Source organism: Homo sapiens, chromosome 12, assembly GCF_000001405.40.
Source record: "Homo sapiens chromosome 12, GRCh38.p14 Primary Assembly".
NCBI lineage: Eukaryota > Metazoa > Chordata > Mammalia > Primates > Hominidae > Homo > Homo sapiens.
Window position 1 is genome coordinate 89,321,344 of NC_000012.12, and position 18,841 is coordinate 89,340,184.

The 18,841-nt window shown below is 40.1% G+C and overlaps 1 annotated feature.

The window, feature by feature from the left end:
* Window positions 4,079-4,582: an enhancer, noted in NCBI's record as "OCT4-NANOG hESC enhancer chr12:89719199-89719702 (GRCh37/hg19 assembly coordinates)". NCBI's record gives its function as "activates a minimal SCP1, AML or CMV promoter by ChIP-STARR-seq in naive H9 embryonic stem cells {active_cell/tissue: H9 hESC(naive)}" and the evidence as "EXISTENCE:reporter gene assay evidence [ECO:0000049][PMID:30033119]".

Sequence of the window (18,841 nt, forward strand, 5' to 3'; positions counted from 1 at the left end):
AAACTATGCCATGACAGACAGCAGCACCTGATACTGGACTTCCCAGCCTCCAGAATTGTGAGCCAATGAATTTTCATTCTTTGTAAATTACTATCAGGTATTCTGTTATAGCAGCACAAAACAGACTAAGACACGCCTTCATCCTTAATATGACATATTAAGTCATGCCTTCATCCTTAATATGACATATTAAGTCATGCCTTCATCCTTAATATGACATATTAAGACACACCTTGATCCTTAATATAACATATTAAGTGCCATATATGTCATATATGACATATTAAGTGCCAAATATAATATGACATATAGTGCCAAACCATAAGCTATTCATGTTCTTATAAAAGTGCTCAGAATTCATAGGACAGGTTACAGGGCAAAGACAATGTTGGGAAACAAGAGAAGTTGGCAACTCTGTTCCTAGTTTGAATTTTAAAAGAAAACATTTCCACTTTCCCTGCTTGCCATTACTTAAACTGCATTTCCAAACTGGTTCTTCATCAGAATGTAGTAGTATAAGTGCCAATACAGATTCTAGCACACTTGGGTTCTAGTTTTGTTATTAACTAGCTGCTTGACCTCAAACAAGTCCTTTGATACCTCTGGGTCTGTAACTTCTCAGCTAATGAACTGAAAGGGTCAGACTAGGTGACCTTTCTAAATGTTGGTCTTCTAGAAATTAAATGAAATAGCTGCCCCAACTTTGTACCAAGTACTCTCGGAAAGCTGGTCAGTGTAGAATTGTGGCCAAAAGTGTGAACTTTGTTATCAAAAAGAATCATTTTCAGATTCAGCTCAGAATTAACTAGCTGTAATATATTGGGCAAGTATCTTAAATTCTCAAAGTCTCAGTTTTCTCATCTGTAAAATGAGAACAACAACTGTATTAGGATGTATGAATTATGAGTTAACGTATAACATATGTTCAGCATATGCCTGACACATTAGCAAGTGCTCGGGAAATGTGTCTTGTTGTTGACAAGAACCTAAACCATGTCTGTTAATCCTATCCGTGCTGTCATAAAGTACATAAGTCAGGTCACATGTTCAACAAAGAGATCCTAAGTTTACTCCCCTCACATTTGCTTGGATTCCCCCTCTGCTTAAATGTTCTGGGAACAAAGCAAAACTTAAACATCTAAACACAACAGAACATTCTAGATTCACTGTTCTCCCTGCCCAAGCTATTTCATTTCCCTTTTTTAAAACTCCTAATTTCAAGCCCAAGGAAGAAAAAGTTTCAAGACCTGGGCTTAAAAGAGATGGAGGAAAAAAAAACAGGACATATAGATGGACTGGTTTCTTCTCCAATTTGTGAAGGAAGTCCTAGCCCCAGCTCCCAAAGTAAAGAATGTCTTCCAGACATCTGATTGAAACAGGAAACTTGCTTTAACCAGTAATTCTGGTCTTTCTGTCTTTTTCCCTCATGTGCAAGGTATCAAAGAAGCAAATGATGCCTAAAACATCAAGATATTTTTATTCTCCACCTTAAAACACCTGTATCCATTCACAAACTGAGAAGTAACTGAGAGCATATTTAGGCAGAAAAACTCTGCTTCTCAATCTTTCAGGGTCCCCATTACGTTGCTAAAGATAATAACAAAACAACAATAATAATGCAGGGGTTAAGGGATAAAGGGAACGCTCATCACCCTAAGTCAGTAGACCCAGGAAAGAATGTATACAGAGGCAGGGCTAGGGCAGAAGAACAAATGAATGCTCACATATCAAATAAATAAATAATTCAAAGTTAAAGAAAGAAGTGAACAAATGGCTAAATAAAATATATTTTATTCTCCTGCTCTGATAACTATATCTTCTTAATAACAAGAAAGGTCAAGTTCAAATTCAGCCTCCTTGGACACTCCAGAATTTCGCACTGGAACATGGTGACATGGGGAGATCACTCCCTGATCCATGCCCCCTGCTTCCCCACTTCCATAACTCCCAGGTCCATCCCACAACACAAGCAGCCTCAAGGGCATATCTGGGGGTAGTTCAGCCAGCCCTTGGCCATCCTACAGGCTAGAAGTGCTCAAAAGTGGGACAAACTCAGAGAAGGAACCCAGTCGGTATCTGGAATCGAGCCTGGGAGTTCCAGTGTCCTCAGTATCTGGAACATGGTCTCAAAAGAGGGATTGGCCTTCAGATGGGTTTGTCCCCTTAACCTCTCAGGCTCTTTCCCCCTTGCATCCCAAGGAAGGTCAGGCCGGGACTCCTCGAGGATGGGGCCCAGGCCAGGGGCACCTCTTCCTTTGGTCTCAGGGCAACACAGAATAGACCACAGCCTTTTCCCCAGAATCATCCCAGATCTTAGTCCCCGGGGACTGAGAGATCCCTCTGCATCCCTTCACACTCAGACAGATGGCCCATAGAAGTTCTCTGTGCTGTAACTACTTTTAGGTGACAACTGTCCTCCCACAACCTTAGCCATAAATCACTAACAAATGTCAGGCAACCAACTTCTTTCTAATGTCTCATTCCTGACATTATTCTACAGTCTGAAACCAAAGCCCAAGTTTCTCATTTTCTCCAAATTCAGAGAGCTTGTCTTTTTTTGTTTGACATTTTATCCTGCCCCTGAGTGCTTACTTTCATTTTCCCCGCAATAAAAAAAAAGATGATGATAATGATAGATAGATAGATAGATAGATACATAGATACATAGATAGATAGATAGATAGTGAGATAGATAGATAGATAGATAGATAGATAGATAGATAGATAGATACCACATGCACACAATGACCATCCTAAACTCATTACTTCTCCCCATTTCCCATAACATCAGTAGACTAACTCCCAGTTCCCCTTCTTGATTAATAATTACTCATACCTAACTTCGCATCTTTATTCCTGGGCCCTGGTTATTTCCTGATTTTATAAATATTCCCTTTTCTTTGATATTATCCCTGCCACTAGCCCTAAAACTAAAATCAACTCAACCAAAACCACCAGTGTCACCATTATCAGCCGTTGTCTCTCCCTCATCCACTCCTCATCTGCTTTCTCTCTTTCACTTAGAATTACATTATATGTGTCTCTCCTTTGTCTATTTCTCTCATATTTCTCTGTGCTTTCTGATATAACCCTCCTCTTTTCTAAGCAGTACCATCTTCTCAACCAGCATTTGCTAAGAGCCTCCTTCCATATAGGCAGTGTGAATTGTCACCAGGCCAAGGCACAGCGACTTCCCTCAGGCCCCAGGATTATTTCTCTCTTGCAATCGTCCTTTTATTATCTCCTACCCCAAGGCAAGGCTAGTTCTAGAAAGAGCGGGGTGAGCAACAGGGCAAGCTTCCTGGGCGTGCAGCCTGTGCTTCATGCACCATGAGCTTAGTTTACTGTTCTGATGTCACTGTCCTAAAGTTCTTAATAATTCTGTCTTTGAGCCTTTGTTTTTTAAGCAAAAACCAATGGGGTAATGTGGCATGTAAATGAGCAAAGGAGAGACCCACACTGCGCGTGTCCATCGTTTATTACCATTCCATTCACATAGAGCATTTGCAATGCCCCGTAAGCCCAGAATTCTAATGGATCTACAGTTTGGGAGATTAAGACAGAAAGTGAATACAAGGCAAGCATGTTACATCTATGACTGAGTAAGTGGGGGTGCTGACTACACTCTACATTCTAACCAGAACTTGCTTCTAATGTAGGAAGAAAGCAATGGCATCCTGAGAAGCCTAAACAACCAAGGAAACTTATCCTTTGTTATTCCTAGTACTTTGCTGTTATTAGCCAACCACTTATCCTGAAAATGATGATACAGAAAAAAAGGAAAGATGGAACAACCAATAGTTCCTTTTCCTTTTAGTTCTTCCTTACTCATCAGTAAGCACAAGGTAATGTTGGTAGAATGTTGCATAGCAAGAAATAAAAACAATTGAATCAATTTTGTGTAGCATTTCTTCTGCTCTGGTAAGAACTACATATGCATGTATTAACTACAAAACATGGAATGTATAATCTAATCGATTCGCATACAAGTACAAGATTCCTATAGTTGCATTTAAAACTGGCATTGCACAATATAAAGATGAATGGTAAAATTCATGCTAATAATTTTAAATGTGAATGCTTCTTTACTTAGAATTATATCAAATAGCATATTTAAAACACCATTACAAGTTGAGAGCCAGCTGCAGAAGGATGGAAAAAGCCTTATATTTTAGGACCTTCAACTGTACCCTGTTTTTCCAGCAATTTGAACAAGAGGCCCCACATTTTCTTTTTGCACTGGGCCATCCGAGGTATGTAGCCATTCCTGGTGAACAATGAAAAGAGATTGAGTGGGATCGAGGCTGGGATAGAAGGGGTCAGAGCTGGGCCACAACCCAGCAGGGTGCAGGCATTTGTCTAAATGCTCTTTCAGATACCAGCACCCCATACTCAAACCCCTCAAGTGGTATTCTGTCTCACTCGGAGTTAACACCAAAATTCTCACTGTGACTCTATCCCACCAACACTCCCCTGCCCACCTCTCTGATCTCCTCTCACCTCCTTCCTCAGCTCCAGCCAGGCTATCTTAACTGCATTTCTTCTAGCATGACAAGTATTCTCCCAACTTAGGGCCTTTGCACATGCCAGTGCCCATCTCTAGAACTGCTTTGCCCACAAATATCTGGAGCACCTACTTCCTCAATTCCTCGGGTATCTCACCAAATGACACTGTTACAGAGAGGTGTTTCTTGATCACCTTATATAAACTAGCAATACTTTACTCATCTTTCTTTATTTCTGCCTCAGCACTTTTCACCAACAAACCTATCATGTATTATTTGTTTCTATCTTTATTCTTGGTCACTTCCACTGGAACGTAAGCTTCATGAGCGTGGGGGCTTTCTCTGTTTTATTCACGGCTATGTACTCAAACTAGGACAGTGTAAATATTTGTTGAATGAATGAAGCTATACACTTCCTAAAGTCATTTAGATTGAGATAAGAAAAGCTTATATAAAATGGAGGCATAAAGCTGGAGGAGCTTTCCTATTACAAAATAATCTCTAACTTGGATCCACAAATGTTGCCTGATGTCCCAAGTCAGGAAGCATTCTGTTTAAGGAAATATATCCAAACTGGGCGCCAAAAATCCTGGGGCTGGGAGGGAGGAAGTGGCCCCTGCTTTTAATGAGCTGTGCAATCATAAGCGATAACTAGAACCTACTAAAAGCTCACGTTCCTCAGCTATAAAATGAACATGATTTAATAATACCTGTCCTTCTTATCTCACAAGTTTCTATGTGTGATAAATGAGATAGTAAATATAAACATTTTGCAAGGCTGAAATGTTAAAGAAATGCTAGGGAATCCTATTTGCCCTGCTAATTAAGGAACCAGTGTGTGGCAGGGAGAGGGAGGCCTGGTGGAGGGGAAAACAGGGCTGTTGGGCCATTTAGCCGAGAATAGTATTTCCAGAGAATGGAATGAAAGAAGCAATGCAGAACAGCAGATGCGGGCTCCTGTTGATCTTTCGCAGGGTGACCCCCATACATCTCCCATTTGACACGAATGTCACCGAGCCCAATTAGAATTAGCCTTTCACATAACATTCAAATTCCTGGACTTCCGAGGACAGCCATATAAGGGAGGAACAGCCACAGCAGATAAGAGGAGAGGAATGGAGAGGCAAAAGGTTACAGAAAAAAAAATGGAGATTTTGACATTCCCCCACACAAAGGACAAGATGTCTCAACAAACCCTAGAATTTTGGAAAAGATTTAACTAAAGAATATTTATCCAAGTGGTAGGCCCTTCTTTTTCCCAGCATTTCTGTGTGTGGTGGGGTATTTATTGTTATTATTATTTGTTTGTATTTCCAGAGTGTATTTTTATGTGTTTGGTTTTTATTTGTTTTGTCTTCTATTCATTGAATTTTTCATTTCCTTTTGCTGCACTCACTATGCAAAGCTACTCTGTGCCCCCCAACTTGTCAGCCTAGACACAGAGCAGAGCTCTTCATGTCAGGGTGTTCACTTCCACTAGAATATATTTTTAAAATTCATTTTCATGCTAATGATGCCCCTGCAAAGATGGTGAAGTGTGGAAAATCAAGTTGCACATGATGTTAAATCATGAAACTGAAGCATTTTTAAGGTTCCCTAAGATGCTTTAAATGAGCCTTTTTGGTAATTTCAGGGCTCCAGATCACTTAAGCAGAACATTTTTTAAATAAAAATAAAAATTCTTTGATGTGTACCGAAGAAGGGAGGTAGAAGAAACTGTCAAAAGTGGGCAGCCTGACAGCTCTCCTGACAAGGGAACCCCTGCACTCTATTTTTAAACCGACCTGTGTAATTTAGGAGAGAAGTCACCATGTCTCCTGATAAAGGTTTTGGGGGCGGCTGGTGGATAAGTTTGCAGTGCTGGAAATGGCAGTGCCACCCACACTGAGAAGGCAGAGCTGCAAGATTCTGCCTTTTAGTAGAACTGGAAAAAAAAAACAAAAAAAAAAAACGCCAAAAAGTGTGCATTTCCTGAGTAAAATGGAAGCAGCCTCTAAAAGAGAAAATGCAGAGGCCCCCCAGATCTTCTGAAATTGGTGTGAATGCCACCTTATTGGTGTCAGTAACAAAGAAGAGAGGTTAGTGATGCAAAGCTTAACTGAGTGGCATGGAGAAATATTAGTCATGGGCATAAATAAATACGGTTGTTTAATGTCATTCCATTGAGAGAGATGGCGCAAACCTGATAGTTTCAACAACGCCTCCAGTACTCCAATAACTGGTCCTTAGAGGGATGGTGAAGACGGAGATTCATCTCCACAAACAGAACACAAAATAATTTGAGTTATTTAACCTCTGAGTTGTATAATCTGAGTTATTTAACCTCTCTGAGCTGTAGTTTTCGTCGTCTTTAAAATGGACTGTAGCATTGTGCCTTGCAGGGTTACTGTTAGAGTTAAATAACAGCACAGAGTAAGCAACACTTAACAAAAACACAGGGAAAAAACTCATGCCCTGAGCATCTGCCAGACCTTGAATTGGTTGGAAGGGCTCTCAGTACGAGGAATTAGAAGGGGTTTTCTTGGAGGCACCACATTATTCTTCTTTGGCAATCAAATAAATGACCCAGCTGCCTCCTCCAGCTTCTGGTTAGACCAATGCCTGGTCCTGAATCAAGATCTGACAAAGACCAGTCAGTACCTCTCCCTCAACACCCACCATACTCACTCTCACTCTCTCTCTCTCTCTCTCTCATTCTCTCTCAGGCCACAGCCAAAAGCACACTCTGTGCCAGTGCCCAGCCTTGGGCAACCGACCCCGACATGGGCCCCGAAAGGCAATTGTTTGACTGAATAGAGCCTCTTATTAAAAATTAATTTCTGTCAAACCCAATTGCATACGAACACAGCCTCATTGTGATCACTACCGTGACTTCTGGAAACAAACATAAGCCCTACTGTTGCCAAAAGCAAGGGGCAGTTTAGGATAGTTCTGAGTCTTGATCTATGAATGCAGCCAGCAGATTCCCTGAGGCTCACAAAGGCATTTGTCCCCTGGAGGACAGAGACCAGCTCCATTTTCTACTGCCCCTCCATGCCCCACACCCACTCCCTGGGGCATAGTCATAGAGACCAGTGAGCATGCTCCTTAGTGCAAACACACACACACAAAATACAAGTTCCGCCACTTCTAAGGGAGTGTGCTTGCCCTTTAAGAGCTTAGGGTTTCTCCTCTGTAAGGCTAAAATAATGATTAACACCACTACCTAACCCACAGGGTCGATGTGGGAGATATGAGATAATGTAAGTAAAAGCATCTGGAATACAGAGAGCAGGTGCTTAATAAACAGCCATCCTATTCCCATAACATCCTGCCCTGGGTATCCCTCTATGGGATATTGTCTTCTACAATGTTTCTTCTAAATTTAGAGTACTAAATGGGGATGGGAGTCATTTTCTTGATAGCAATGGGTTGAAGAAAACAGAGACCTCAAGTTAAAATGCTCTAGATCCAATTTACGTATCCCACACATCTCTAATAAACTTTGATTTTTCTCTTCTACATGAATTGTCTCTTCTATTTCCATATCATGAGATCAAGGAGAATCAAGAGTTAGAGGTGGAAAGCTTATCATGTCCTCCTCTTCCCCCTACTTTGCATATTTTCAACATTTTTGCCATTAAAAACTTGGACCTGACATTGCATGAACTTCTAATATGGTGCAGAGATGGCTAGCTTTTAAAACGAGTGCTACCCTACTGATGGAGAAAGAATAAAAATAGTAGCCATGTCCAGTGAGATGAGGGTAGCGAGTCTGAAAGAGGGCAATCAAGCAATAGGGATCAGTGTAAAATGTGGGAGGCTGTTGATGCAGTCATTCCACTTTCAGGAATTATTGAAAGGAAATAATTAATGAGGCAAAATCAATAACTTACATGATACTATTGCTGATCATAGTAAATGACTGCAAAGAAGCTAAATATTCTAAAATAGGAAGTTGATTATATAAATTATTAGACATTCATACAATAGAAAACGATGTAATAAAGTTGTTTTTAAAGATGAGGTAAAGCTATGCTCAGTTAAATGGAAAGACATTCCATAAATTGTTAAAGTTTGTGGGAAAAAAAATTTGTTGCAGAAAAACATATGAATATAATCCTGCTTATGTAAAAATATAAAAATATATGTTTCTATATATTTATGTAAGCATTTTTTAAATCCTAAATATGCTTTGTCAAACTTTTGAGTGGTTATCTCTGGAAGGAAGATTATAAGAGGGCATTTTTTTTTTTTTTTTAGACGGAGTCTCACTCTGTCGCCAGGCTGGAGTGCAGTGGCACAACCTCGGCTCACTGCAATCTCCGCCTCCTGGGTTCAAGGGATTCTCCTGCTTCAGCCTCCCAAGTAGCTGGGATTACAGCCACACACCACCACACCCAGCTAATTTTTGTACTTTTAGTAGAGATGGGGTTTCACTATGTTGGCCAGGGTGGTCTCTATCTCCTGATCTGGACCTGGAGATCTCCTGATTATGTGTCTGGAGTCCCAGCTACTCACCCACCTCGGCCTTCCAAAGTGCTGGGATTACAGGCGTGATATAAGAGTACTTTTAAAAAACATTTTATAAATGTAGGCATGGTATGAATTGTGTAACTTAAGCCTCTACACATTTATAATGACCCAAACAAATTTTTTTAAAGCATGTTGCAAAATTTAATCTTTCTCATCTACAAAATTTTTAAAATTTGAGAGTATATAACTAATAATACAGTTTCAAAATATACAAAACAAAGCTTGGTGAAATTAAAGGGAAAGACAGACAATTCAGCAATAGAAGTCATAGATTTAAACATCCCCTCTTTGCAATTAATAGACCAACTAGACAAGATGTCAGTAAAAATATGGAAGATCTAAACACTGTCAACTAATTACAACTAGTTGACATTTATAGAACAATATACCCAACAACTGCAGAATACATATTCTTTTCAAGTGCCCATGATATGTTCACTAAGATAAACCATATGATACACCATAAAACAAGTCTCAGTTATTTAGAAGTATTGAAATTACACAGAGTTTGCTCATAGCCACCATGAAGGTAGATTGGAAATCAATAATTAAATGTCTAGAAAAGTTCTAAATGTTTAGAAATCAAATAGTACAATTCTCAATAATCCAAAGGACCAAGAAGAAGTTACAAGGAAAATTAGAAAATATTTTTAGCTGAATAATAATGAAACTATAACATCAAACTTTGTGGATGCAGCTAAAGCAGTGATTAAAGGGAAATTTATAGCTTTGAATGCTTATCTTAAAAAAAAAAAAAGAAAAGAAAGAAAGGTCTAAAATTAAGTATGTGAGCTTCCCACATTACAAGCTAGAAAAAGAGCAAAGTAAATCCAAAGTAGAAGGAAGGAAATGTTCAAATAAGAGCAGAAACCAAAGAAATGATAAGAAAACAAACAAACAAACAAAATTAGCATAAGAAAAGGGTTCAGAAGAGCTTTAAGATCTCTTTCTCCAAAAAGTTCTGTAATTCTAAGTGCATTTAGCATATCAGATTCCTAAAGACTTTCTTCCTATCTCTGGGTGAGAAACAAATGTTTATTTAGCAAACATTTGTTTATTTGCTTGTTTCTTTTAGGCAAAACCCTAAAAGAAATGATATAAGACATATACCATTCGTACCCCAGAAAATAAGCAAGTACAGTAGGCCATCCATATTCTGAAATTTCTCATCCATAGATTCAACCAATCTTGAATCAAATATATTCAGTAAAAAAAGATTAAAAATAGCCAGGCGCAGTAGCTCATGCCTCTAATCCCAGCACTTTGGGAGGCCAAGGTGGATGGAACAATTGGGCCCAGGAGTTCCAGACCAGCCTGGGCAGCATGGCAAAATCTTGTCTCTACAAAAAATACAAAAATTAGCCTGGTGTGGTTGCATGTGTCTGGAGTCCCAGCTACTCAGTAGGGTGAGATGGGAGGATCGCCTGAGCCTAGGGGGGTGGAGGCTGTCTTAAAAAGAAAAAGAAAGAAAGAAAAGAGAAAAAGAAAGATTAAAAATACACCATAACAACTATTTATATAGCATTTACATTGTATTAGGTATAATTAGTAATCTAGAGATAATTTAAAGTATACGGGCGGATGTGGATAGGTTATATGCAAATACTACTCCATTTTATATAAGGGACTTGAGCATCTCCAATTTTTGAGGGAACTATCTGAGGGGAGTCCTGGAACCAATCCCCGAAGTATACTGAGGGATGATTGTATACATTACCTATCTAATGATATGCAGTGACTTATTAAGAGTCTAGAAGCCGGGCATGGTGGCTCACGCCTGTAATCCCAGCCCTTTGGAGGCCGAGGCGAGAGTATTGCTTGAGCCCTGGAGCTTGAGACCAGCCTGGACAACATTGTGAGACACTGCTTCCACAATAAATACAAAAGTTAGCCAGTCATGGTGGCACGTACTTGTGGTCCCAGCTACTCAGGAGGCTGAGGTGGGAGGATCACTGGAACCTGGGAGGTCAAGGCTGCAATGAGCTGAGATCACCCCACTGCACTCCAACCTGGGCGACAGAGTGAGACCCTGCCCCCTCCCCCTACAAAAAAAAAAGAAAGAAAAAGAGTCTACCAAGTACAGGGCACTGAGCTTTCCATATGCATTTCATTAATATGCACAGTGCTTCTATTTGTTCATGCATTCTACAGATAATTATTGTAGTGCCAGGCACCATCCTAGGTGATAGGTCAACGTTAGTATTTATGAGCTAGGTATTACTGCTCCTATTTTATAGTTGAGAAAACTGAGTTTCAGAGAAGAAAAGTAACTAGCTCAGCATCACAGGGTATTGTTAAGCAAAAATGTCCAACCTATCTGAAAGCCTAGTTTTTAACAACTATGCTACATGAAAAGACACTAAGCCACAAAGATGAAGGCACAGAGTTGAGCCAACATCTATAATAGAATATGAGAAACTATACAATGGCAACAAAGACAAATTGCCTTGGGACCATGTTAAATCAACTCCTAATCTTTTCAAAGAATTCAGAAAGCTTCTGAGAAGAGGTGACTTTTGAGCTAAGACTTGAAGAAAAATTTGTCAAGAACGGTAGTAAACACATCATCACATTTAAAGTGTACAATAACCCTGAAAAAAATAGCATTATGGTTCTTTCACAGAAGAGAAAACTGAGGTCAAGAGAGATGAGGGGCTTGCTCAGAATCAGTCAGTTACTATGGTATATGCCAATGTCCATGCCAAGCATTTCACAGCCATTGGTCTCCTGACAATCCTGACGTTTAGGCAGCACCACCACTAACATTGTTGCCACTTGGTCTTGCCTAGGTCTTGGCAATAGCTTGTGCTTTAGTGGTGAAGCTGAAATATACACCCAATTCAGCCTTACTCCCAGACCCAAAAAGTAGGTTCTGTGAAAGTTTTCTTGCGTATGAATCCAAGTCCTGGGTTCTAAAGGGAAGAGTGACCTTAGGAAAGAAAGAGATAAAATTAATTTATTTAGGCACATGTCAAGAAATTCGCTCAGTCTGACCAGGCACAGTGGCTCACACCTGTAATCCCAACACTTGGGAGGCTGAGGCAGACGAATCACTGGAGCTCAGGAGCTCAAGACCAGCCTGGGCAACACGGCGAAACCCCATTTCAACAAAAAATACAGCCAGGCGTGGTGGCATGCACCTGTTGTCCTGACTACTTAGGGGGCTCAGGAAGGAAGATCAGTTGAGCCTGGGAAGTCAAGGCTGCAGTGAGCCATGTTCACGCCACTGCCCTCCAAGCTAGGTGACATATGGAGACCTTGAAAAAAAAAAAGAAAAGAAAAGAAAAGAAAGAAAGAAAGTGAGAAAGAGAGAGGAAGGAAGGCAGGAAGGAAGGCAGGAAGGAAGGAAGGAAGGAAGGCAGGAAGGAAGGCAGGAAGGAAGGAAGGAATTCCTTCTTCCCACCAAAACAAATCTCCAGTGCACCTAAAATAAAAAAAAAAAAACAACCTAAAAATGCTGATTATCACTTCAAATTAAGGAATAGGCTTCAAAACATTTTTTTAAAACCTCACTTCTCCCCACCCGTCCCTACAGGTTGATTTACGCACACTTCTTAAGCCAAGTCAAAGAACTGGCTTAACTCTAGTTTCCCTTAGAAAGCATGACTCCAGGCTGCCTGAGCTTCCTCTGTCCTTTTGTGACCTCCTGATGACCTGGGAGTTCCACCCACTTTTTAGGGCCTCTCGGAGCCTTGAATCTACACATCAGTGGGATTTAGTTTCCCTTTTGCTTTAATGACTCCTCAGAACCTTACTCATGTAGCAATCTCACCCACTTCCTTTCTTGTTTCTCTGGTCCTTATGGGCTATAGCCCACCTCTCCTTCCCATGCAGGCAGGTTCTCAGGGACAATGGTGATTTATTTATTTACAGTTCTCCTTATATTTTGTTTGGTTAGCTTTTATTTATTTCTTTTTCTCAGGTGGGGGAAAAAGCTAGGTTATGTCTTTGGGTGTCAGCTAGTAATCTTTCACTTTTCTTCCCATGTAACCACCCCCACCCGTTTTTTTTGTTTTGTTTTGTTTTTTGTTTTTTTTGTATAATTATAGGTTTCACCTCATCAGACAGTTAGACTTTAAATTGGTCTATCTTTAGGCTGAAGAAATCATCTTGAAAATTCAGAATCAATACAAGAATCATGGTACTAGATTAGTATCACTAAGACTCAACATCTAAAAATGAAATATTTAAAAATATATACATGTTTTGAAAAGAAAGAAGAGGAACAGAAGAATTGGAAAATGTTTGACTCAACTAGCTCATGCATGTACCTTTCCTATCTGTCCTCCAAGGAGTGAGGGAAAGACTTTGTTAAGAATAACCACCATCAGCAAAACCCCACAATTCTGAAGCTCAACCACACAAAATGCAAAGGGATATTTGGCATAGAGGAAGTGAACTTCACAGAAATTGCATGTGGCCGTGCAAAGAATTCTGCAAATTTAACATATCACAAAGAATGTACTGAACAAATTTTGTTATGAGTTTTCAAAAGCCTCTCACATCTCTCAATGGTCTCCAAAGTAAACACATCTCCCACACTGTAGCATCCATTACTATAGTTTTGAGTTTCTGCTCTGAAATGATGCAATCTTCTACTCAGGACGGCTTCGTAAATATCTTTCCCAAATGATGGAGAAACAGAATTCAACTTCACTTCTTTCATTCCTCAAAGAACATGTCATGCAGGGCTGCACGTTAGTGGCCATCAACCAGGAAATATTTCGTAAACAGAATTTGTACTCCATTTATTCTGAGTTTACTTTTAGAAGCCACTTATCTCTTTTAGAAGAACTTCCCTTGCCAATCACCTTTTGGAAAAGGCCTGGAAGAGACACTCCCTGAGGACGTGCAGAATCCTAGGTCAACAGCATATACAGTGGAAATAAATAACTAAAGTATCTACATCTTAGGATGGTCCCTTTCCTTCCTAAGACAATCAGTCTTTTCAGAGCAATTGAAACACATATGCAGGTGTACACACATGGACGTGGGTGTACACACACACACACACACACACACATTGCAATATCTCCTCTAGTACATTCTTTGATATGTGACCATTACTTCTTCTCTAATAATTGTGATTAAAACTCCCAAAACAAGGAATGTCTTTGGAGATGGAAAGGCCACTAAAATTCATATTGTTCAATGCTCTCATTTTGCAAATGATGATGCTGAGATCCAGTATGTTAAATTTATCCCAAAGAATTTATATGCTCCTAGAATTTTCAGATAAGATTAGAGTTTCTCCTTTTGAGACCTCTTAGCGGAAAGATCAAAGGCTCTGAGGTCAGCCCAGCCCGGTTTCAAATCTCAGCGCTACTGTTTACCACTTGGAGATCCTAGATAATTAATCACTCTAAGCCTCCATTTTCCCATCTACAAAATGGAGATAATAAGAGCTGAAAGAATCCAGAATATAACACTGTGAAGAGTTTTCTTCTAAACATTCGTTATCTGCTTAAAAGCAGAGCCTCCTAAAAGAATTCAACTGTTAAAACTCCCCTCCCAGGAGTTTTGTAACCAGGAAAGATTGAAATCACCTAAACAGGCATTGTCACAAAATGATAGTATCTCCCATCTATTCTCCTACAGGCCTATTTATCTTTCCTACAAGTCATTTGTTTTCCTATAAGTAATCTTCTCCCTCTCTCCTCCTTCACCTATTCCTTCACCCTCTCCTTCACCCAATTCTAAGCACCTCCTTGAGTCATACTTTTTGGTAAATTCCCAAGTACTTATGTGAATAAAAATACATGTTTTCTCTTGCTAATCTATCTTTTGTGAGTTTAATTTTCAAGCCTCCAAAAGTTAAACCTAAGAGGATAGAGGAAAAAGTTTCCCTCCCCGACAGAGCTAACATGTATTAATTACTTACAACAATCAAGGCCCTGTTCTAATCATACTGAGTGTATTAATTCAGTTACTTCTGACCATGTCTTTTTTTTTTTATTTTTATTTTACAGATAAGGAAACTAAGGCACAGAGAGGTTAGCCAACTTGCTTAGCGTCAGACAGCTAGTAAGTGATGGAGCCAGAATTTGCACCTAGCCATCAAGCTCCAGAGCCCTTGTGCTTAACCACTGTGTGACAGTAACCTTACCTCGCAAGAGGGTACTAAAGATGAGATGAGATCATCTGCACACAGCTTCCAGCCTGGCACAAAGGAAGGGCTCCATAAATGTAGATGCCATTTTGACCATTAGAAAACCATCTGTCAATCTGCTGTTGATAAAACCAGGGTGTTTCCCATCTCTCATCAAGGGATTAGAGTAGCGCAAAGACTCTAACCTGTAAGCAATGTAACTAATTTGTGTTTTCATTAGCCACAGCTTAATGGCCGGTGTGGAGGGTATTGGAGTTCCAGAAAACAGACAAGGACAAGAGAGCCAAAGGATAAAAATCTATCAGAGGTATCCAGCATCATTCAATCGAACTTAACCTTCCAGTAACTTAAAAGATGTGGTTTTGTCTGTTTTGTTTGTTTTACCGCAGAGCAGGAATATTTCTCTTGACCTTTATATAACTTAGATGAAGTATGGCACAAACTCCTTTGATTTTGATTCCGGCCTCATCAGCAATGTTGTGATCGCAAATTCAACTCTATTCTCACCCTGGGAAGAGAGTAGTCTGTACCATGAGCAATATACCATGAGAAGAGTATAAAGCAGATGTTAAAAAGCTGGGCTTTTGGCCAGGCACAATGGCTCACACCTGTAATCCCAGCACTTTGGGAGGCCGAGGTGGGTGGATCACCTGAGGTCAGGAGTTTGAGACCAGCCTGGCCAACGTGGTGAAACCCTGTCTCTACTAAAAAAATACAAAAATTAGCTGGGTGCAGTGGTGGCCGCCTGTAATCCCAGCTACTCAGGAAGCTGAGGCAGGAGAACTGCTTGAACCTGGGAGGCAGAGGTTGCAATGAGCCGAGATTACACCACTGCATTCCAGCCTGGGCAACAGAGCCAGACTCTGTCAAAAAAAAAAAAAAAAAAAAGCAGCAGCTGGGCTTTCAAGTCAAACATCCCTGTGAGCAAATACCAGCTTCATCAAGTACCTGGGGAACCTTCAGCAAGTTACTTAATTTAAACTCTCTGAGTTTCTGTTTAAGCATCTAAAGGATGGAAATTTAATATCCCTACAAAACCTACCTCGTAGGATAGTTGAGCCAGCCTGATGGCAAACAGCACAATGTATTCTTTTTTAAATTCATAAATTGCACCAGGCATGGTGGCTCATGTCTGTAATCCCAGCACTTTGGGAGGCCAAGGTGGGCAGATCACTTGAAGTCAAGAGTTGGAGACTAGGCCGGGCGCGGTGGCTCACGCCTGTAATCCTAGCACTTTGGGAGGCCGAGACGGGCGGATCACGAGGTCAGGAGATCGAGACCATCTTGGCTAAAACGGTGAAACCCCGTTTCTACTAAAAATACAAAAAATTAGCCGGGCGTGTTGGCGGGCGCCTGTAGTCCCAGCTACTTGGGAGGCTGAGGCAGAAGAATGGCATGAACCTGGGAGGCGGAGCTTGCAGTGAGCCGAGATCGCGCCACTGCACTCCAACCTGGGAGACACAGCGAGACTCCGTCTCAAAAAAAAAAAAAAAAAAAAAAAAAAAAAAAAAGAGTTGGAGACTAGCCTGGCCAACATGGCAGAACCCTGTCTCTACTAAAAATAGAAAAATTAGCCATGCATGGTGGTGCATGCCTGTAATTCCAGCTATTCAGGAGGCTGAGGCACGATAATCGATTAAACCCAAGAGGCAGCAGCTGCTGTGAGCTGAGATTGCACCACTGCACACCAACCTGGGTGACAGGGTGAGACTCTGTCTCAAAAAAACAAACAAACAAAAATAATAGATTGGCTTTATGATTTATCAGTCTCTTGCAAGAAGTCTTCCATGACCTTTCCCTTCCACAAATGGATATAAACAAAAGAAAAATAAAATCCCCTGCTCCACTAAATTTTTGCAGTACTTCTGGATCTTACTTATGAAAGCAGTTTATGTTACACATTATGTGACAGTCGAAGTGCTGAGCATTTTACGTGCATTTTCTCATTTAATCCGGATAACAACAGTGTGAGGTAAATACCATTATTATTTCCATTTTTTAACAGATGGGAAACTTACTAAGATTAAGCACCTGGCCTAAGGTTACACAGGTAGCTAGTGATGAAGCTTATATTTGAACCTGCAAGAGTCTAAATCCAGAGACTATGTTCTTTATGCTACTTGTTACTTTATATCTTATAATGATTTATGTTCAAGGCTGTTTTCATTTCAAGGCTGAAAGGTCAAATTTGTGTCTAATTTATCTCTTTATGGCACTCAGAACATTCCCTGAATATAATAGGTTGTCTATGCCTTGTTGAATTAATAAATGAATAGTGGCATACATAATTCCATTCCCCAGAGCCTCATCAATTACAATTTATTTGCATTTTTCTAGGTGCTTTACGTCAATTTTCTCATTGAATCCTCCCAACTCCATCAGCTAAGTGTTATTATTATTCTCATTGCACAGGTGAAGAAACCAAGGCTCAGAGAGACTTGTCTGAAATTGAGGATCTACACAGACTAGGCAAGGTCACATGGCTAACAAGTGACAGATCTGGGTTCACATCTGGGAAAACTGAACCCACTGACTGAGCTTGTAACCATCACTCCTCAGCTGAAAATAGGATCAGAACAGAGATAGCCTCATCAAACCATGGGCATAATTTATGGTCCACTCAGCCAGCATTTCTCATTTTAAAAGTTTTAAACCTGAATTGCTTCTGTCAAAGAGTTAGAAGGGACTCAAAAATGTGAAACCTTGGATAGAGATCAGTGGCAATTCCAAAATATCCTTATAGGAAGGGTTTGGGAATAACAATCTCATTGAAATTGGGGGAGGGGGATAAGGAATTTTGAAATTATCGTAAAGCTATATTTTAATATGAAGCTCACTGTTTTGTCAATCAGATTCTATTATTGTGGGCTGCTGATGGATATTATAAGGGCATATTAAAGAAGTAATCACTATTCTGCTGGAGGATATATTAAAAATGTGTATTTCATGAATCTGTATGTATGTATGCCTATCATTTTTCAAAAGTGGTTTAAACATCAATAAAGTGAAAATTCAAATCAATAGATGACACAGAGATTTTTTGAGAATTCAAACATCATCATGACAATAATAAACGTCAGGAAGGTCTTGCAGAGATGTGTGAGTAGCCAGTAAATAGCCGTGCTCAGTGCAGTTGGTTGCACAGGAATAGCTGCAGGAAAAGAGAACGCACCTCGTGCTTAGAAGACCAAGGACTCCGAGTGCAGACGTGATCCAGGAAAAGGATGATGGCATCATTGCCGACCATTCCCTGAAGGGGTCGGTCCAATGTATTGTGGCAGTCACAAAAGCAAGCATCATCAGGAAGGATGTCAAAAACAAAATAGAAAGCACAATCTTATGAGCGTTTGCACACACGCACACACATATACACAGAGAGACACCAGAATTCATTGGCTCCAGAAATACTGAGTATAGTTCCAGCCATCAAACCTGAAAAATGGCATAATGAAACTGGAACTTACTTAAAGGAGGTCCCTTAAAATGATTAGGGTTTGAAAAGAAACCAAAGAGACTTTAAAACACTTCAGCCTAGAAAGACAAAACATAAGAGTTGGCGGATCAGGTTGATAAAATCACAAAGGGTACTGATTAAGTGAACACAGATTCTGACACCAAATCCCAGCAAAGCAGACCTAGAAGCCCTGGTAAAATTTTTAAAAAAGTGCTTTTAGGACTATTTATATTTTCAAGTGCTACTTTATAGGGCAAG